The sequence below is a fragment of the Homo sapiens genome, chromosome 11, assembly GCF_000001405.40.
Source record: "Homo sapiens chromosome 11, GRCh38.p14 Primary Assembly".
NCBI classification, from domain to species: Eukaryota; Metazoa; Chordata; class Mammalia; order Primates; family Hominidae; genus Homo; species Homo sapiens.
Genome location: NC_000011.10, coordinates 2,172,208 through 2,193,390, shown reverse-complemented (window position 1 = coordinate 2,193,390; position 21,183 = coordinate 2,172,208). Strand labels below are relative to the sequence as shown.

Sequence of the window (21,183 nt, the reverse complement as noted above, 5' to 3'; positions counted from 1 at the left end):
GAGAACATCTTGTGCCACAGCCAGCAGGACCGTCTGGGGCTGGTGCACCCACCAGGCCCTGTGACGCCACTGTATCTGCCTGAGCCATCATTGCACCCTGTCACTCCGCTGATTCCCACCGTAGCCCACGGGGTTGGTATAAGGACACATGCCACCCAGGTGGGGACACTGAGGCCCACCGGAGAGTGGCCAAATGAGGCCTCGAGCCTGGGCCTCCTCTTTTTTTTGAGGAGACGGAGTCTCACTCTGTGGCCCAGGCTGGAGTGCGGTGGCACAATCTCGGCTCACTGCAAACTCTGACTCCCTGGTTCAAGCTATTCTCCTGCCTCAGCCTCCTGAGTGGCCGGGATTACAGGCATGCGCCACCAAGCTGGGCCTCGTTTTTACACAGCAACCTCCCCAGGGCCAACCCTGTTCTGGCCTCTGAGCTGCCCCCAGGCAGCCTCTCTCCTGTTTACCTAGACACTGTCAGACCCTGCACCAGTGCCTGATGCCCAGGACAACACTGGCCCCTCAGTGGGCAGGGCTGTAGCCAGCCTTACCCCTGGAAACAGGGGAGAAAGGGAGGGAGGGGGGCCCACATGCAGTGGTCGGCCGCTGTGCACCCCCCTGCAGAGTCAGCTCAAGACACCGGGCTCTGCCTTCTGGGGTTCCCAAGGCTGCTCCCCTGAAGAAGACTGCTCAGTCCCAGCTGCCCCAGACCAGGCCCTTGGTGGGGGGTCCCTGAGCCTCCACTCCCTCCGGGAATGGCTGATCCTCCTTGGAGCCGAGTTTTTGTGCTGTGGGGAGAGCACCCAACCATGGGGGGCACCCTGGTAGCTCACGACATGGACCCCTGCCCACGGGCATGCCCTCGGCCAGCCTGGAGACAGCTGCTCTATTGACTGCCGGGCCAGGAGTGTCCCAGGTTAAGCCAACAAGCCCCCGCTTTCTGAGAGAAAAATCACCTCCTTTGGGTGTGGAATATGGGGGGGCGGGGAGCTGGGAGGTCGGGAGCCCTGGCTGGACCACAGGGCCTATGGCTGGGGACCTCTCGCTGCCGAGGTCACAGTGAACTGAGACCCCCTCGGGTCTCAGCCTGGAGGGGGTGACCCAGGAGGGTGCATTTCTGCTTCCCCCCTGAGAAGTCACACCACACCTAGCAGGGGCCCCTCCAGGGTGTACCCCAGGGGTCTAGGGGATGTTAATGATTGGCCGTCTCGGTTCACAAAGATAGTCATCACCAGCACCATGGAGTGGCCACCGCCCAGCTCTGTCAAACCTGGACTTAGCCTCATGTGCACCTTGATTTAAAGAACAAGAAACCAGCCCTGCCCACGCCCCTGGCTCACTGTGCTTCCCTCCCTCCTTCCCTCCTTCCCCAGACATAGCCACCACTTTGAATCTCGTGTCCCATGGGGTGTCCACACAGGGCACCTGATTTATCCAGGCTCGGGGAGGAGGGGTCACAGATTGTTCCCCAGGGGACTTTACCTAGTCCGTGTGTTTGCTTTAGGAGTTCTGAGGCCATTTGGTTTCTTTATGCATTTCTGTATCTTTTGCATTTTTCTAGTGAGCGTGGGGTTACTCTTTTAATCGTAAATATATATATACCTATTTTTTCAGTTAAAAAACTGTGGTTTCAGGCCAGGTGTGGTGGCTCAAGCCTGTAATCCCAATGCTTTGGGTGGTCAAGGCAGGGGCATCGCTTAAGCCCAGGAGTTTGAGACTAGCCTGGGCAACACAGTGAGACCCCGTCTCTACAAAAAATTGTTTTCAAATTCGCAGGGCATGGTGGCGTGTACCTGTAGTCCCAGCTACTCAGGAGGCTGAGGTCGGAGGATTGATTGAGGCCATGGAGATTGCAGTGAGCCATGATCCTGCCACTGCACTCCAGCCTGGGTGACAGAGAGAGACCTGTCTCAAAACGAAAACAAAAATCTGTGCTTCCTCAATAACAAATTGAAGCCACCAACACCCTCGTCCACCGAAAGGTTAGCATGTGCCTGGTGACAAAGTCAACAGACAAAGGGGACTGGGGAACAGTTCTGTTCCTCTTCCTCAGAGTCCTAGGCCCCAGGCCCCTCCCTGAGACAGCCTCAGGGCCTCCTCCTTCCCCTCCCTCATCCTCCTCCTTCCCTCTCTCTCCTTCCTCCTTTGCTTTCTCCCTCTGCAATCTCAGCCACCTGCATCCGCTTCCTCCACCCCGACCTTCCCGCCAGGCAGGTGCCCTGGGCTTGCTCAGCATGGGCAGCCCCCGGCTCTGCCCCCTGCACACTGGGAGGCTGCTCCACTCTCAGGGGTCTCTGGCTTTCCGTGTCCCTGCAATTAGCCTCCGCGTGCGTGCAAGAAGTCAACACAATTTGGCTCCACGTGGCCCCGGTGCCGATTGTGGACAGATAAAAGACAAACTAACGTCCTGCCCTGAGGATTAAGATGCAGCTGTTTCCCTGGATACCGGATCAGGCGTAATTAGACAAAGGGAGTGCTTTCCAAACCTACTCAGCCGAAGGCCCAGGGGCAGGCAGCCCTCACCCCCAGGCAGCTGGCACGGGCTCGGGCCCTTCCTTCCTCCTTGTTAAAAGCGGATTGATACAGACGCCATGGAAAAGGTTTCTGACACGCAGCGGGATGATGGCAGCAAGGCCACCTGCGGTGACAGCGAAACAAGATGCTCAGAGCCCCATTAGCAGGGCGGCCACGTGTGCGTTCGCCTTCGCCTCTGCCCCTGTTTTCTCCAGTTTTGTTCACTTTGCTGTATCATGGACGATAACACATCTTAGCAAGAAATCAATAAACGGTCCCGAGGCTTTTAATGGAGAAGAAATAAATAGCAACCGCGCTTGGCAGTCTGGAGGAACCAGCGCTTTCTGCCTGGACCCTGAGCCTCAGGCTTCACCGCCAACACGGCCATCCCTGTGGGGCGGGAGCAGCCTGGAACGGGAAGGGTCCACCCTTCTTTCCCGGCTTCCTGCAGAGGGCGGGGAGAGGCTCTGTCACCGTGCCCCTCGGAAGCCGGCCTGGGCTGTGTAACTGGGGACTTGTGGACAACAAGCCAGAGGGGGTCCTGCCAGGCTCTGGATGCCCACTCTGCCCATGAGGAGGGCACAGGCAGCGCAGTGCCGTGGCAGGCAGGCTGCCGACCTTATGCCCCAGGGGCGGCCTTAGTGCTGTGTAGACCCAGAGGGGACACGCCCCAGGGCTCCCTGAGGTGCTGCCTCAGTGGCTGTGCACTCCCAGCACCCGGGGGGTGTGCCCACCAGCTGCCCGGCCCCTGAGTGGGCCTGTGTCCAGTGCCCCCCTGGCCTCCCGGGAGGAGCTGCTTGCTCTGCCCCAGGGTTGCTGAGAGACAGCCTTGCCACTGACCCGGCCGGTCTCTGCCTCCAGCCCAGGCCTCTGTGCACGCTGACTGCGGTGGAAACTCCAGGCCTGGCAAAGAAAAACACGTGAGGCAGCCCGCCATCCAGCAGAAGAGTTCGCTCTGGGGTCTCTTTGTCAACATGCTTTTCTCCCTTTATTTGTGTTATACTTTTTCCAGTTTTTTGTGGTCAAATACACATAACACAAAACTTCTCATCTGAACCACTTCCAGTGCACGGTTCGGCAGCATTAAGCACATTCACGTTGCCGGGCAGCCATCACCACCGTCATCTCCAGAACTCTGTCATCTTCCCAAACCGAACTCTGTCCCCTGAAACACTCACGCCCCATCCCCTCCGCCAGCCCCCCGCAGCCCCATTCTCCTCTCCATCCTGACAGATTTGACGTCTTTAGGGACCACGTGGGAGTGGACTCGGGCAGCATTTGTCCTGTTGTGACTGGCTCCTCTCCCTGATTGTAAGGTTCTCGAGGTTCATCCACGGTGTAGCGGATGTAAGAATGTCCTTCCTGGGCCGGGCGCCGTGGCTCATGCCTGTAATCCCAGCACTTTGGGCGGCCGAGGCGGGTGGATCACAAGGTCAGGAGATCGAGACCATCCTGGCTAACACGGTAAAACCCCGTCTCTACTAAAAATACAAAAAATTAGCCGGGCCTGGTGGTGGGTACCTGTAGTCCCAGCTACTCGGGAGGCTGCGGCAGGAGAATGGCGTGAACACGGGAGGCGGAGCTTGCAGTGAGCCGAGATCGCCCCACTGCACTCCAGCCTGGGTGACAGAGCGAGACTCCGCCTCAAAAAAAAAAAAAAAAAAAAAGAATGTCCTTCCTTTTTGAGGCTGAATCTGAATCGTGCCCCGTTGTATGCGTGGACCACATTTTGCTCTTAGCCGGCGGACACTGGGTTGGTTCCACTTTCCAGCAATAGTGAATAACACTGTTGTGAGCAGTCACACACACGTTCCTGGGTGGACATAGGTTTCATTTCTTCTGGGCATCCACGTAGGAACAGGATTGCGGCAGCCTGTAGTGCCTCTTTAACCCGCGGGGGAGCTGCCAGGGTGCTGTCCGCAGCGGCTGCCCTGCGGCACGACCCACCGCAGGGGCTCTGATTTCTCCACATTCTCGTGAGCACTTGCTATTTTGTGTTCTGCATTGTTTGGGTTTGTTGACGGTGGCCACCCTAACGGGTGTGGAATCCTGTCGCGCCGTGATTTTGATTGGCATTGCCCTAATGATTCGTGGCATTGAGCACCTTTCCCTGCGGCTGCTGTCCTGGATACACCTTCCCTGGAGAGGCGCCCGTCTACGTCCTTCGCCCACTTTTGAATCTGGTGTTTGGCGGTTGTGTTTTAGGGGTTCTCTGTGGGTTCCGGGTACTACTCCCCGATCAGGTGTGTGATTTGCGGCATTTTCTCCTGTTCTGGGAGTTGCCTTTTTACGGTTGATGATGTCCTCTGATGCACAAAGTTGTTTGTTTGTTTGTTTGTTTGTTTTAATTTTCAAGCCCAATTTATCTCTTTGTTGCTTGCACCTTTGGTGTCACATCTGGGAAATCACTGCCAGGTGTGAGGCCATGAAGCTTTTGCCCTGTGTGTTCTCTCTACCGTCTCAGGCCCTACGTCCAGGCCGTTGACCTGTTTGGGGGTAATTTTTGGATGGGAAGGGAGGGTTCCAGCGTCACACTTCTGCATGTGGGCATCCCGGTTTCCCAGCCCCGTCTGTGGAGGAGGCTGTCCTTTCCCCACTGAATGGCCTTGGCACCTGTGCCAAAGATCACGGGACTGCATTTGCCAGGGGGATTGCCAGTCTCTCCTCTACGTATTTGTGAATAGGGATCTATACACATTCCACGAACACACAACAGGGCCACGGGACAGCCCTGTGCCAGGTTCCTACCTCCCCGCCCAGAGGCTGTGTGGATAGAGCACACGTGTGTGGGTATGGCATGTGTAGTATGTGGTGTGTTCATGTGTGTGACATGTGGAGTTGTGTGGGGTGAGTGTGCTGTGTGTATGATGTGTGTTTGTGATGTGTGTGGTATATGGTGTGTGTGGTATGTGTGGAGTGTGTGGGGTGTGTGTGGTTGTGTGTGTGGTGTGTAGCGTGTGGTGTGTATGTGTGTGGTGTGTATGTAGGTAAGTGTGTTGTGTGTGCGGTGTGTATTGTGTGTAGTGTATGTGGTGTGTGGTGTGTGTGGTGTGTGTGTATGATTGGTGTAGTTTGTGTGGCATGTGTGTGGCGTGTATGTAGGTGTGTGTGTTGTGTGGTGTGTGTGGTGTGTATGTGTGGTGTGTGTGTAGTGTCTGGTGTGTGTGTGGTGTGTGGTTTATGTGTGTTGCATGTGGCATGTGGTTTGTGTCTATGTGGTATGTATGTAGGCGTGTGTGGTATGTGCGGTGTGTGTGGTTTGTGTGTGTTGTGTGTGGCGTGTAGCTTGTGTGTATGTGGGGCATGGTATGTATGTAGGTGTGTGTGGTGTTTGTGTGTGGTGTGTGTATGGTGTGTGTGGCATGTAGCTTGTGTGTATGTGGTGTGTGGTGTGTGTGTGTGGTGTGTATGTGGCATGTGGTGTTTGTGTGTGTGGTGTGCATGTGCGTATGTGTGCGTATGTGGCGTGTGGTGTTTGTGTGTATGGTGTGTATATGTGTGGTTTGTGTGTGGTGTGTTTGTATGTGATGTGGTGTGGTGTGTGTGGTGTGCATGTGTGTGGTGTGTATGTGGTGTGTGTGGTTTGTGTGTGTTGTATGTGGCGTGTGGTGTGTGTATGGTGTGGTGTGCATCTGTGTGTGTGTGTGGTGTGTGGTGTGTGGTGTGTATGTGGTGTGTGGTGTGTTTGTGTGTGTGTGTGTCTGTGTGTGTGCACGCACTTAGATATCTTGTGTTCGCAGCTTGTCATGGAGAGCAGTCAGTCCCTGGCTGCCTGGCGCCGCTTCCTTCTCGGGCTGCCATCCTGGGAAGGGCCCCCTTCGCCCGGCCGTGCCTCCTGCTCCTGCCTCTGCTGCCCTTCGAATGCAGCCGCCCTTTTCAGCAGCCTCTCCAGGGAGGCCTGGGTGGGCCGCCCTCATCTTTTGTCTCCTCAGCGGGGGTTGCAGTGGCTTCACCTGGAGGCTCCGAGGGAGCACACGTGCGTCCTCTGGGTGAAGGCTGCCCAAGTGCTTGCGTCTGGGCGCCATCCTGTGGTGCCCACAGGGATATCAGGCTGAGAAGGCCTTTGTGCTGGGGTCCTTTATAAAATAAGCTTACCGGGGCATCTACGGCAGGTCAGAGTCAATATTCAAACGTGTTGTTGTCTAAAAATGCCTGGAAATTTTACTCCTAATGTCAAAGGAGGCCCCTCCCATGGGCTCTGAGACTGGAGCGTGGGGGTTGTGAGCAGAAGGACGCAGAGGAGGGGAAGTGCTAGAGAGTGGGGGGTCCGGCCCACCAGGGGCCCTGCGTTGGCAAGACCTGAGGTCATGCCATCATTTTCAGGCAGTGGGAGCCATTGAAAGTGCTTGAGTAAGAGAGTGGCCAAGGCAACGTGCGTTTGATGAAATCAATGAAGCACCTGTATTGGGAGGTGTTTGCTGGAAAGAGATAGAGTGAGGGTGGCTGGGAAGAACCGTGAGGCCTGTGTACACATTTCAGGGGTCCTCACTAAGCCTGGGTGTCTCATGGAGCTGTGGCAGGCTGCATGGACCGTGGGATTTGTTTGGACTCCCAGCTCTCCGTGGGGATGTGGAGAAGGTGAGAGGCCCTGGGGCTGAGGGGGCAATAGCCTGGATCGGAGAAGGTGGCAAGCAGAGGTCAGATGGGGAGGGACTGGAACGCCCCAAACCACAGCCATTTACACCTGGGTGCCAGGTGGGAGCCAGGAAGAGGGGCCAGGATGTTGGACGCCAGCTCCACCCCGTGACTGCTCCCTGCCCAGGCGGACAGTGGGGAGGGGGCATACAGCACTCTGAGGATCATAAGGGTGGGGACCCCAGGAGCTGAATCTAGAAGGAAAGGGCTCCTTCCAGAGGAGGTCATTTGGAGATCCTGCCATCCCCACCCCCTTCCAAACAGCCAAACCCGCTCTGGCACCACCGCCTTCCCTATGCCCCCACCCCAGCTCCAGCTGAACGCCCTCGCCCAGCTTCCTTGGGAGACTGCCAATCTAGGCTGAGTTTTGCAGCTCCTTCTCTGGAGCGCGAGCCAGGCGCAGGCTCTGACACTGTCAGGGCAGCGGTAATGACATCGGCCTCGAGTCCAGGGCCAGCCCAGGCCCCCTGTGCCCGTAGACGAACCCTCAGAGGATGCAAGCCTGAGGGTCCCCATTCTGGTCCGAATGGGAAGCCACTCCAGAGGCGCGCTGGCGCAGGGGGCGGGGATCCCGAGGTGGCCTGGACAGAGTCAGCCTCCTCATGTCGCCCAGCCCTGGCGCCCAGGCCCTCCCCAAGGAAGGTGGGGTGCATGGCCTGCCTGCTCCCTCCGCAGGGCTCCCTGCGGCATCTCAGTGCTTGTGGAGCTGACAGCTCTCTCTGCCTTCCTAACCCTTGATCCCTTTGATAAACATCAAAACCTCAGCATCAGCATTGCCTGGAGGCCATGCCCTCCATGCTGCCTCCCCTGCACAGGCACTCACAGATACATTCACCCCAATTCAGAAGATTCTGCCCAGCCCACCATCTGTGGTTTGTAAAAGAGAAACAATAGACCATCGGTTGCTATTGCTTCTAAATGCAAAACTGCGCTATGACATTACATGTGCTTTTCTGGGAACACAGTCCCCTACCCCAGTGTGCACGAGAAAGGTGCTGGTGCTTCCCTTCTTTGGGGGAACATTGCTGTTTTTGGGGTAGGTTGTTGGACAAGATCCGGATGGCAGAAACCACAAAGGAGACGGTTGACAAGCGTGGCTCCCCGAAGCCACATCATTGCCAAGCCTTCTTGATGACCACAGTCTCCATAAACACGGTAAAGGGTGGACCAGGCTCTGGGAGATGATACTTCCTGCCGAAAAGGATTCATGTCGGGAATGCGTAAAGAATTCCCACATCTCATCAGGAAAAGTGTAAGCTCCAAAGGGAAGATGAGGGGAGGAAGTGAAGGGATCGTTCGAGAGAGGGAGAAGTAGAGATGCTCGGGAAGCAAGCGGACCTGAGATGCCGCTGAAGTGTCATTCAAGCTTTGTAATGTCGGGCGTGGATGATGACCTGGAAGACAGACGCTGTTGGGTCGCGCTGGCGGAGTGTGACGGGAGAGGTGCTGGGGCATTCCTAAGAACATGAATGTGGGCTCCCAGAGCTCATAAGCTCATGATTTCCCTCCTCCCCAAAGGGGCTCACCCTCCAGTATCCAGGCTGGGGGGCCAGGAGCACACGCACCTTTTTATATTTGTGTTTGTGCACGTGTGTATGTGTGTGTTCAAAGGAGAATCTGTTGCTCATGTAACTAAAATTAAAAATAATATAGATGTAGAGAAATTGGAAGTCTTGTGCTCTGTTGGGGGGAGTGTGTAATGGTCCAACATGGCCCAACAATGCCACCTCTAGGTCTAGCCCCAAAAGAATTGAAAGAAGGCTGGGTGCAGTGACTCATGCCTATAATTCCAACACTTTAGGAGGCCAAGGCAGGAGGATCACCCAGGCCAGGAGTCCAACACCAGCCTGGGCAACATATGGAGATCCCCTATCTCTACAAGAAATTAAAACATTAGCTGGGCGTGGTGGTGCGCACCTGCATTCCCAGCTCCTTGGGAGGCTGAGGTGGGAGGATTGCTTGAGCCCAGGAGTTTGAAGCTGCAGTGAGCTATGATGGTGCCACTGCACTCCTGGGTGACAGAGTGAGGCCCCATCTCTTAAAAAACGTATGTGTGTGTGTATGTGTATACAGAAAGGGGGGTCTCAGCTGGGCGCGGTGGCTCACTCCTGTAATCCCAGCACTTTGGGATGCCGAGGCAGGTGAATCATGAGGTCAGGAGTTCCAGACCAGCCTGGCCAATATGGTGAAACCCTGTCTCTACTAAAAATATAAAAATTAGCCAGGCATGGTGGCGCATGCCTGTAATTCCAGCTACTCGGGAGGCTGAGGCAGGAGAATCGTTTGAACCCGGGAGACAGAGGTTGCAGTGAGTCGAGATCACGCCACTGCACTCCAGCCTGGACAGAGCGAGACTTCATCTCAAAAAAAAAAAAAAAAAAAAAAAAAAAAAAAGAGGGGGAGTCTCAAGGAGATGCTTGTATGCTCACGTTCATAGGTTCAGAACTCACAAGAGCCAAAAAGCGGAAGCAACCCAAGTGTGTGTTGACAGGTGAATGAATGGACAAAAGATGGCCCATCCTAGAGAGGAAGAAAATTCTGACACTGCTGCATAGGGATGACCCCGAGGGCATCGTGCTGAGTGAAATAAGCCTCAGAAGCACAGGTACTGCAGCATCCCACTTAGACACAGTCCCTAAGGCAGTCACAGGCGTAGAGACAGAGAGCCATTGTCGGTACCAGGAGCTGAAGAACGAGTGTTTAATGGGGAACAGAGTTTCAGTTTTAGAAGATGAAAAGAGTCCTGGAGATGGCAGTGGTGACGGTTTTGCAACCATGTGAATGTACTTAATGCCACTGAACTGGACAATGAACAGTGGTTAAAATGGTAAAATTTAGCCAGGCGCAGTGGCTCACGCCTGCAAGCCTAGCACTCTAGGAGGCTGAGGTGCTGGGAGGTGTGAGGGTCACTTGAGTGCCAGGGTTCAAGACCAGCATGGGCAACACAGAGAAACCTCATCTCTACAAAAAAGCCGGATGTGGTGGCACCTGCTTATAGTCCCAGCTACTTGGGGGGCTGAGGTGGGGGGATTGCTTGAACCCAGGTGTTCGAGGCTGCAGTAAGCCAAAATTGTGCCACTGCACTGCAGCCTGGGGGACAGACTGAAACCCTGCCTCAAAAAAAAAAAATCAAAAACGAAAACAAACAAACAAACAAAAAAAACAGGTAAATCTTATATTATGTACATCTTACCACAGCAAAACAATAATCATTTTACAAGCCCAGTAATAGAAAGCAGTCAGAACAGAGGAGGGTGGCGACAGCCTCGGAGGTCCTCGGGGCTCCAAGTGCACCCCGGCCTGCGGGGAGTGGGCAGGGACGGGGGTGGAGAAGGGAGCGGGCTTCGGGGAAAGGGCCGGAGGGAAGCAGCCCCTGCTCCGAGCCGCCTGGGCCCATGCTGGAGAACCCAAGTCCCGGGTCCACTGGCCGTGGCAGGGAGAGCTGGCCCATGGCTTTGCCATGTGGCGGCTGATCCACCCTCTCTTCTCATCTCTGAGCCGGGTGTTCCCAAACTTCCCTCCTGGTCTGTTCATCCACCAGGCTCTGAGGGCCAGCCCTGCCTGGCAAGGGGGGAACCAAGGGGCCAACTTTAGTTTTCCAGAAGCCTCTGTCCAGGGGAGGAGTCGACGTGAACGAATCGGTCACACACACGCAGAAAGGTGCCGCTGCTGGGGACCTGTGGGGCGGGGGCGGGGCAGAAGGAAGGTCCCCTGTTTGGGGGACCCTTTATTAAAAACAGGCGGCAAGCTGAGGCGTCCAGCTGAGTTCATCCCAGGCCCCAAAGTAATCGCACGGCCAATAAGCCCTGCCTAAGATGAGGACGGGTGGGTCTGGACCGAGGCCCTGGCGGGAGGGAGGGTCCTGGGCGTGCCACCAGCTCTCCGGTCGGAAGCTTCTGCATGGGCCGTGCCCTGCGCTGGGAGACTCCTGCCCGGGCAGCCTTGCTCCAAGGTCGGCTCCACAGAGGGTGCCCGCCCTCTCAGCCCTGGCCTGTGGCACCTGCCCACAGCCCTTTCTTCCCTGGATGCAGTTTTTGCCCCCTCTGTGTCCTCGGCTGCACGAGTAGGGGCTTTCTTGGGTTGGCTGCCCGCCTGGCCCGGACTGACCCGGACTGGCTGAGGCTGAGGCTGACAGTGCAGGGAAGGAGCCAGAAGCCACTATGGCTGCTGTGCAGAGACCAAGGTGTCTCCCTACACCTGTGGCCCCCAGGGCCCCAGGGACACAGGGTCCACACCCTGCCCCACCTGCTCCATCTCCGGGACGCCCTCGCTCCCCAATCTGATTGCACAGGGTGGGGGGCCCAGCAGCCTTGGTGACAGTTCTTCATCCCAAGGGCCCGCCCAGTTTCTCCTGGCTCCTGGGGATGGGAGTGGCCTGGGTTGTGGCCCCACCAGCTCTGTGACAGGGCTCTTGATGCTTCTCAGGCCCTAGTTTTCCTGAGACCTGCTGGCCAGGAGCTCAGGCCTCCTGGTTTCTGGTTACTTTTCCTCCCCTAGAAAGCAGCCTTGGCAGACAGAACAGAGGCCCAGAAGATCCCGGGAGGCTCCCCAGGCCCAGAATCTGGGGAACTTGCAAGGATTTGGAATCCTGGCCGGGTGTGGTAGCCGAGCCTGTAATCCCAGAATTTGGGGAGGCTAAGGTGGGAGGATTACTTGAGGCCAGGAGATTGAGACCAGCCTGGGCAACACAGTGAGACCCCCTCTCTACAAAAAAATTTTTAAAAATAGCCAGGCGTGCTGGTGTGCCCCTGCAGCTCCAGCTACTTGGGAGGCTGAAATGGGAGGATGGCTTGAGCCCGGGAGGTCAAGGCTTCAGTGAGCCATGATCAAGCCACTGCACTTCAGCCTGGGTGACAAAGACCCTGTCTCTCAAAATAAACATTTAAAAAATAGAAGTTAAATCCTCTTTTGGAGACTGTGGGGTGAGGGGAGTGTGGCCACACCACAGCCCTTCCACCTCCCCATTGTGTGCCCCGAACTGTGCTGTGCTGGCCACTGGCCTCACCCTCCCTGAAGCATGGCAGGTCCCCCACCCCCAAGGCCATGCTGGGGTGGGGACAGGGGCCATGTGCTTCCCACTTGGAGGGGGCTGTTCCAGACACCTCCCTGGCCGCCCCTGGCAGGGTCTCGGCTGTACTGGATGTGAGGACCGTGGGCCTCCCTTCCCCCAGACTATGAGAGCCTCCAAAATTGGGACCGTGCTGTTTCCCTTTCCGTGCTGTTTCCCAAAGGGCACCCAGGAAATGCTTGCTGCGTGAATCAGTGAATGAGTGAGTTCATTCACCTGGGGGCTGGGTGGGGACGATGGAGCCTTCCAGCCTCCTGGGACCTGCCCTCAGTGTGGAAAGTGAGGAGGCATCTGTCTTCCTGAGGAAAACCTGGGCTTAGTCCTCCCTCTGGCCCAGGAGGGGACCGGACCCCACAGCTGGAGGGAGCCGGCTTAGCTGACAGCGAGTGTATTAAAAACAAGCTTTGGAGCAAAGCGGACAAGCTCAGGTGTTGGTAGAGTTCATCCCAGGCCCCAAAGTAATCACATGGCAAACAAGCCCTGTCTAAATATCACGGCGGCTGGGGCAGCGGCACGCAGCGGCCTGGAAATGTCAGCCGGGGGTGGGGGCTCCTCCGAGCCCCGGGATTAGCAGAGGTACCTGAAGTGAATGCGCCCACCTCCTCCTTCCTGCTCCTGCTCAGGACCTGGGCTGGGCCAGCCCGGGGCACCTGGGGAGGGGCTCAGAGGGTCTCACTGGGGCCAGGGGCTCTTCTTTCAGCCCCAGCCCGGGCTGGTTCCCATGGGGTAGCAGGCTGAGGAGAGTGGGGAGACTGAGCTTGGCCGGAGTGGGGCGGACGCACTTCCAGGCCCAAACCAGCAGCCCACGGGTGGGGGCAGAGAAAGCTGCCCCCCTGCAGGCCCAGTGAGTCCTCGAGAGAGGGGGCCACCCGGCCATGGGGGGGTGGTGATGTTGGTTCGGGGAACCTAGGGCATCTGGACCAGCCCCTGGACAAGGCGGTCACAGCAGCCACTGCCTGAGCAGGCCACCTGCGGGCTTCCCTCCAGGTCTGCCCATCGGCTCAGGGCTTCCAGAGCCCAAGGGAGCAACACGTTTCTCCTGAGCACGGGTGGAGGGAAAATAAGGATGTTTACGATCGAGTTGCCCATGGAAGCGTTACCAAGCCCCCTGGAGACTCATCTCACCGCAGTGGGACCTTTGCATTCTCTCAGGCGGTGGGGGTCTCTGCCGTGTTGTCCGTAAAGTGTCAGCGTGGGGCCAACTGGGGACCTCAGCAGCCACGTCCAACCCTCATCTGAAACAAGAACTAGAGGCCTGGGCTGCTCCTCCCTTCCCGCCCTCAGGAGCACAGGGTGGCAGGAGGTGAACTCCATGGGCGAGGGGCTCTTGCTCTTGCAGGCCCCCAAAGTCAGGCAGGTGCAGAAGGGAAGGACAGGATTCAGGGACAGGAGACACACAGGGGGTCCCCTCTGTTCCAGGATGCTCCCAAATCTGAGCCCAGCTGCCCCCAGGGTGGAGGGTGTGTGGACAGCCGGCCAAGAGGGGCGGGGCCACAGAAGGCCCTGGCGAGGCCGTGGGGCCAAGCAGAGGAGCCTACAGTGGCTGGCCAGACGGGTCCTAGGTGATGCAAGGGGTCCTCCGCACCCCTGTTCTGTTTCCCCGGCTCTGACCCAGTGTGCGGCCTCTCCTCCATGTCTGTATGTGGCTGCCTCCAAGGCCCCTCTCCTCAGGCCCTGTATGTCCAAGCTGGGCCTCCTTCCTCTGATCGCCCTTGGGAGAGGTGGCATTGAGGTCACCTCCTCCCCTCCCAGAGTCTGCATCTTGTGGGCAAATGCCCCAGTGCCTCCCACCATCCTCCATGCATGCAGCTGCCTGCCCAGGTCCCCTGTGAACGCAGCCCAGGGCCGTGCAGGCCACAGGCGGGGCTCCTCTCCCCAGGTGGGGCCTCCAAGTCTACACGTGTGGCTGGGAAGGGGAGTCACAGCACAGATGGAATGAAGCACATGAGCCCTGGGTGTGGACCTGCCTCAGCTCAGAGCAGCGGTGGGACCACATCTTCTCCCTGCCACAGGCCAGGTGACTAGCACCCAAGCCCGTGGCACTGGCACTGCTGGGGGGCCAGGGCGGGCTGTGGCCTTGCAATGAGATGTGATTTGCTGTCAAAGCACAGCTGCCGCCTCGGTGAGTGACTAATGAGAACTGAATGCCGCTCTTATTGCTTTTCACTCGACTAATTTGTCAGAGGCTGTCAAGAGCCAGGGGGAGGGGGCAGAGGGTGGGGACCGGAGGTCTGATTGAGTCACCGGCATGGGGGCGAGGCTGGGTGCCCGGAGGGGTCTGCAAGAAACCAGGAGCACCTGGCAGGAACTCAGGGCCGGTGGGGACCTTGGCCATGATGTCGTGTGAGAGTCCGGAGGGACACAGGAGCTGGGGTCACCCTGTTTGTTCCATATCAATGGCTGGTCAGCTCTTCTAAGCCCCTACTGTACACACACATGCACATGCATACATAGGACACACACACACACTTACACAAACACACGCATGCATGCATGTGGACATAAAATCATACACTCACATGAATAATTTTAGAAGCATGTACAACACATGTACACGCAGAGAAGCACTCCCACACATGCTTCCTGGCACACACACACACGCGCACACACACACACCCTTGAATGCACACTCTGTCTCCCACACAGACACAGACCAGCGAAAACTCCAGGCCAAGCTCTGGTGCGTGGGTTCCCAAGCCTGGCTGCACACACAACCAGGGTGCTCTCGGCAATTCCAGCATCTCCATACCCCTGGAGCCTCTTGTCCTGGTGTGGGCTTCCTGGTGATGTGGGCCAGCCAGGTATGGGTGGAACCGTCCTACTCCCCCTCCAGCCCCAAGCCTGAGCCAGCCTGAGTCTGGCATGGAGCTCCTGGAGCCAGGTGAGCAGTGAGGGGCGCTGGGAGCTGGGGAGATGCCCTGTGGGTAGGAGATGCGCACCCCGCCCACCCGGATGCCCTTCCTTCCAGCTGAATGCCTGGCTGCCAGGGACCACGGTGACTTCTCTTGCTTGGCTCTGTAACCTGCCCCCTTCGTACCCTTTCCCTCCCTCTGCCTCCACCTCTGCCCGACTCGGTCCCACAGGACCCTCTGGCCACTGGATCCCCTTCCCTGGAAGCACCCCTCACTGCTCACCTGGCTCCAGGAGCTCCATGCCAGACTCAGGCTGGCTCAGGCTTAGGGCTGGAGGGGGAGTAGGACGGTTCCACCCATACCTGGCTGGCCCACATCACCAGGAAGCCCACACCAGGACAAGAGGCTCCAGGGGTATGGAGATGCTGGAATTGCCGAGAGCACCCTGGTTGTGTGTGCAGCCAGGCTTGGGAACCCACGCACCAGAGCTTGGCCTGGAGTTTTCGCTGGTCTGTGTCTGTGGGCCTTTGGGGGTCCCACACACACAAGGGGCTCAAGGCTGACCCCTCCTCCCACAAGGGCCTGCAACTGCTAATCCCTGATGCCCCCCACTGTGTGGATGGCAAAACTGAGTCCAGGGCCCAAGGGGCTGAGTCAGGACCCTCTTTTCGGCCCCCTACATGGTGGGTCTCAACACTGAGGCAGTCCCTACAGGCAACAAGGATGGAAGGACAGCACTGGCTGTCCAGGCTGGAGGGACTCAGAGAGGAGGCCACTGGGGGACTGCCTGGAGGAGGAGGGCAGCCCGGGCCTGAGGGCCTGGCAGGATTTGGTGGGGAAGGGAAAGTGGAGCCCCAGGTGGGCAGCAGCAGTAGCAGAAGGGGGGCAGGGAGCCGTCTGTGGGGGACAGGGAGGGTCCGGCTGCCTGTCCAGGGTGTGGAGGAGGAGAGGCAGCCCACAGGCTCAGAGCCCGAAGGAGGCGTGGTGCCTGCTCTGCCGGCCTCGCTCTGGGCCTGACTTCCAAACACCCAATTATCCCTAAGTGCATCCGATCGACTGGCAGGGCGGCTGTTCCGGGGCCCACCTCGTCCATGCGCTCCGCCCGCCCTGCTGTGGGGCTCCATCTGATGGCCTCATTAGGGCTAATTGCTCTGGCATTTGGGTCTGACAGGGACGGCGGATTCTGTCCTGTGTTGGGGCGTCTTGGTTCTTCCAGCTTGGGGGATGGAGGGGAGCTGCTTCCTTACACGGCAGAGAAAGGCCCTGCACCCCAGGCGGGGCAAGATGGCGTGAGGGGAGGACGCAGGACTCACTGTCCCCTGCCTTCTTGGGACAATGGGAACTGAGGGACAGCCCAGGGTGGCATGACACCCCAAATCCTCAGGAGGTCCCCCACTGTCTCCCAAATGTGAGTGGGGGTCTGGGAGGCTGCAGGCCGGTGTCCCTGGGAGCCAGGCTCTAGAGGGGGCATCTCTGGGGACCCTGGGGACCCCGGGCTATAAAGAGAACTGCGGAGTAGACATGGGCGGGGGGGCAGTGTGTGCTCCAGCATGTGTGTGTGTGTGTGCATGTACACGTGTGCACCTGTATCGCCTGTGTGTGTGCATGTGATGTGTACACGTGTCATGCATGCACGCACATGTGTAGTGTGTGCTCGTGTGTGGTGTGTGCCTGTGTCATGTATGAGCACACTTGTATATGTTGTGTGTACTGTGTCATATATGAGTGTGTTTGCCTGTGTAGTGCATGCACATCCGTGTGTGCATCTGGTGTGTCCGTGGGTCATTACGAGTGCATCGTATGTGTATCGTGTACATGAGTACACTTGTATGTGTGGTGTGTACAGGTGCCATGTAAGTGTGCTTGTACATATATGCATGCATGTGTCATATGCATCTGTGTGTGCATGTGTGTGGTGCACACATGTGTTATGTCTGAGTGTGCCTGTATGTGTGCTATGTACACGTCATGTGTGAGTGTGCTTGCATGTGCAGTGTGTGGATGCTGCTTGTACCTGTGGTGTGTACCTGTGTCATGGGTGCTCACACGTGCATGGAGTGTTGTGTGTGTGCTTGTGTGCCCCATGTGTGCATGTGTGTGTGCCTCACACAGATGCCTGCATTTGCCTAGGCACTTGCAAGAGGACACCATGCTGGCTCTCAAAGATCACAGGGCCACCTGAGCCCTGTGCACACCACAGCCAGGCCATGGCTAGACCCTGCAGAGCCACAGGGCGATGCCTGTCAGCCAGGGGACCCAGAACACCTCCTGGGCTCCTCCCCAGCACATGGCTGGGCTCCTCCAGCAGGCCTGGATTTGGGAAGGGCCCGTGGTGGGCAAGGCTGGTGCTGGGGAGCAGGCCTGGTGGCCTCAGAGACTCGCCCTGTGGGCGGAGCAGCCTCACAGCCAGGTCGAAGTCAGCACTCTGACCCTGCCCCACGCGGGGAGTGGGCACCAGTCCCAGGGCACAGACGTGCTGGGTGATTAATCTGGGTGATTAAGCCTCGGGCTGAGAGGCTGTTGAGAGAGAACACGCTCCATTGTGGAGCTGGCTCAGCATTCCTTACGGCCATGGTGGCAGGGGCTGTAACCACAGGGACGGCGGAAGTGGTGGAGGGTGGTGGGGTATGGAGGGAAGCCCAGAGGGCTCCGTGCAGGAAGGTGGAGCCTGGTGCAATGGAGGGGACAGCAAGGGCTCCTCAGACCTCTGCGGGGCCCCCACTCCCCTGGTCACCTGTTTTGTCTCTGATCTGGCCTGGGTCGGCCCTCACTCCTGGCCCCACCTCATAGCCCCCCCTGGTGGGGCTCCGCTCCAGCCCTTCTCCTTCCCAGGGGCCAGTATGCTGGCCCCAGGGGTCTCTTGGGGCGTGACCTCGGCCTCCAGAGAACCCTGTCCCAGCTCTGCCCTTCCCTCTGGGGTCTCTGTAGATGGGACGCTGGTCACAGCAGCCTGTCTGATTTGTTCCCTGTGGCCTAGGTTCCTGAGCCCCACAGTGCCAGGGGATGGATGCCACCGGATCTTTGAAAGACCAGTGTCAGGCCGGGCGCAGTGGCTCACGCCTGTAATCCCAGCACTTTGGGAGGCCGAGGTGGGCGGATCACGAAGTCAGGAGATCGAGACCATCCTGGCTAACACAGTGAAACCCCGTCTCCACTAAAAATACAAAAAGTTAGCTGGGCGTGGTGGTGGGCGCCTGTAGTCCCAGCTACTTGGGAGGCTGAGGCAGGAGAATGGCGTGAACCGGGGAGGCGGAGCTTGCAGTGAGCCGAGATCGCGCCATTGCACTCCAGCCTGGGTGACAGAGCGAGACTCGGTCTCAAAAAAAAAGAAAAAAAGGAAAGACCAGTGTCTTGGGAGTTGGGAAACCTGGGCTGGAGACTCACTGCATGACCCCTGAGAAGTTGCACCTCAGAACCTCAGTCCTCGCATCTGCAGAATGGGTCTGTGAACACCTCAGCTGCCCGAACGTGGATGCCGCAGGCTGACCCAGCACTGAGCTCTACCAAGACCAGGGGCCAGCCGTGTGCTCCCTCCAGGCCTGTGCCCAGCGTGGAGAGGCCTCGTCCCGTGGGCGCTGGAGTGGAGCCTTCCTGGTGTTTGTGGACATCTCTGGAGAGGGCCAGAGGCAGGTGGGTGACACGGGGCATGGCTCAATCATGGGTGGTCCAGACTGGAGAGGTACCCTCGGGCTGGGAGCGGGGAGGCTGGCCAGGGTAGACTTTTGGGGCCTCCATGGATACCCTCACCATCTGGAATCGGAGAGGGGCACGGCACAAAGGAGGGCGGGGCCAGGGCCAGGACTGGAGTCGGGGGCACCTCTGTGCCAACAGGGGCCTTGGATCTGGGGTACAGCATGGTTCCCCGGCCCTGAAGGGGCTGGCGTGTGGGACAGGCTTCCCAGGAATGGATAGGCAGGGATGGATGCTGCCTGATTGGGGCGGGAGGCTGGAGGCAGGGCAGGTGCAGGCACCTGAGGGCAGCACTCACCTCCACAGGGGTCCAGGGGCCTCCCCAGCCTCAGCACCTGGCCTGGGCTCCTGCCTCCAGAGAGCCTGGCCCCAAGGAAGAGTCTAGTAAGCTTAGTTCCCATCGGGCTTCCATGAAAGCACAACTGGCCCGGCAGGAAACCGAATTAAAAAGCAATATTTGTATCAGTGGAAGACATTTGCTGAAAGGTTAAATCCACATCCGGCAGTGTGGGCCATGAGCCTCCGGCGTGGTGTTCATCAGGCATGTCTCTCCTCCTGGCCTGGGCACCTGAGCACTGGGGCCGCCCTGGGCAGAGCTGGGGCGGGGTGCTGGGGGGCCTGGAGCTGCCTCACCGAGGGATCCTCAGCAGCCGACCCTGGGGGAGGCAAATGAGACTCTTTCTGGGGACCTTGAGGGGAGCTCGGGGGAGCCATGCAGAGCTTCACCAGGCCTGGACACTGGGCATGGAGGCTGGGCCACCCAAGGGCCATCACCAGGGACTCAGGTGGGTGGGCCTCAGCCCTGGGTGACAGAAGCTCACGGGCCGCAGGGCGAGGCCAGAGGCTGAGCCTTCAGGCTGAGGTCTTGGAGGCAAATCCCTCCAACGCCCTTCTGAGCAGGCACCCAGACCTACTGTGGGCAGGACCCACAGGAGGTGGAGGCCTTTGGGGAACACTGTGGAGGGGCATAGCATCTCCGAGAGAGGACAGGGTCTGCACTGGGTGCTGAGAGACAGCAGGGGCCGAGCGGTAGGCTTCCCTGCCCCCAGGGATGTTCCAGAGGAGCGCAAGGGAGGGGCATTAATATCGTGGCAAGAAAGGGCAGGCATTGCAGAGTGAGCAGCGACGGAACTGGGTTTTGTGGGATGCATAGGAGTTCACCCGGATAAGAGGTGGGTGAGGAATGACACTGCAAACCGGGGATCACGGAGCCCCAAATCCTTCTGGGCCAGGAAGTGGGAAGGGTTGGGGGGTCTTCCCTTTGCTTTGACTGAGCACTCAGCCTGCCTGCAGAGGGCAGCGAGGAGCCACGGAGGGGTGTGGGACAGGGATGCCATGGCTGAAGCAGTTTTAGGAAAGGTCCCAGGGGCTATTGTTGAAGAGAGAACGGGGAGCGGGGAGTCCCACAGCTGACAGGAGCAGAGTGGGCCCTGAGAGATGCCAGCTCTGGCTGCCACAGTGACCAGCCGGGGTAGGCCTTCGAGAAGTCAGGGAGCGTCTAGGGCTTCTGGCTCCTGCTGGGCCCAGGGTGTCATCTTGGGCTGCCAACACCAGAAAGCCCAGCAGATACAGGAAGCCCCAAGCCCTGTCGGAAACGGTTCTTCTCCAGGAGGGACAGCGGTGGCAGCGTTCAGCCGCAGGCCATGCACTCTGGGGCCACGTCCTTCCCTCTGTACAGTCCAGCATTGTCAAGGCAGGCTCTGGCCATCTCTGCTGACCCCAGAGGGATGGGGAGGCCTCCCCTTCCACCAGAAGGGCCAGAAGCCACCCTGGGCAGGGGCATCACTCTCCCTGGGTGGGGCAGCGGCTGGGAGCAGGAGGTGCCAGTGGGCGTGGGCTGGATGCGGGTGCCTGCGGGGCGGACATGGAACTTGGGGGAGGCTCTAGGCTGGGGTTGTCCTCAAGGGAGTTCTCAGGTCACCCCAGGGTCACCCTCAACCCGGGGCCTGGTGGGGTAGAGGAGAAACTGCAAAGGTCTCTCCAAGGGGAAGGCATCAGGGCCCTCAGCACTGAGGGACGTGCGTGCTCTTTAAAGAAGGGGCCACAGGACCCCGAGGGAAGCCAGGAGCTAGCAGTGGGCCATAGAGGGGCTGAGTGGGGTGGGTGGAAGCCGTCCCTGGCCCTGGTCGCCCTGGCAACCCTGGTGGGGACTGTGATGCAGGAGGTGGCAGCCATTTGGAAACGCGTGGCGTCTCCTTAGAGATGTCTTCTTCAGCCTCCCAGGGTCCTCCACACTGGACAGGTGGGCCCTCCTGGGACATTCTGGACCCCACGGGGCGAGCTTGGGAAGCCGCTGCAAGGGCCACACCTGCAGGGCCCGGGGGCTGTGGGCAGATGGCACTCCTAGGAACCACGTCTATGAGACACACGGCCTGGAATCTTCTGGAGAAGCAAACAAATTGCCTCCTGACATCTGAGGCTGGAGGCTGGATT

At 58.6% G+C, this 21,183-nt stretch overlaps 1 non-coding gene across 1 annotated transcript, besides 1 other annotated feature; it reads right to left on the bottom strand.

The window, feature by feature from the left end:
- Positions 15,709-16,555: an enhancer, noted in NCBI's record as "H3K4me1 hESC enhancer chr11:2198066-2198912 (GRCh37/hg19 assembly coordinates)". NCBI's record gives its function as "activates a minimal SCP1, AML or CMV promoter by ChIP-STARR-seq in naive H9 embryonic stem cells {active_cell/tissue: H9 hESC(naive)}" and the evidence as "EXISTENCE:reporter gene assay evidence [ECO:0000049][PMID:30033119]".
- Positions 20,253-20,328, bottom strand: MIR4686 (microRNA 4686). Its single transcript, NR_039834.1, has one exon. It is a non-coding gene; the product is annotated as a microRNA 4686 (primary transcript).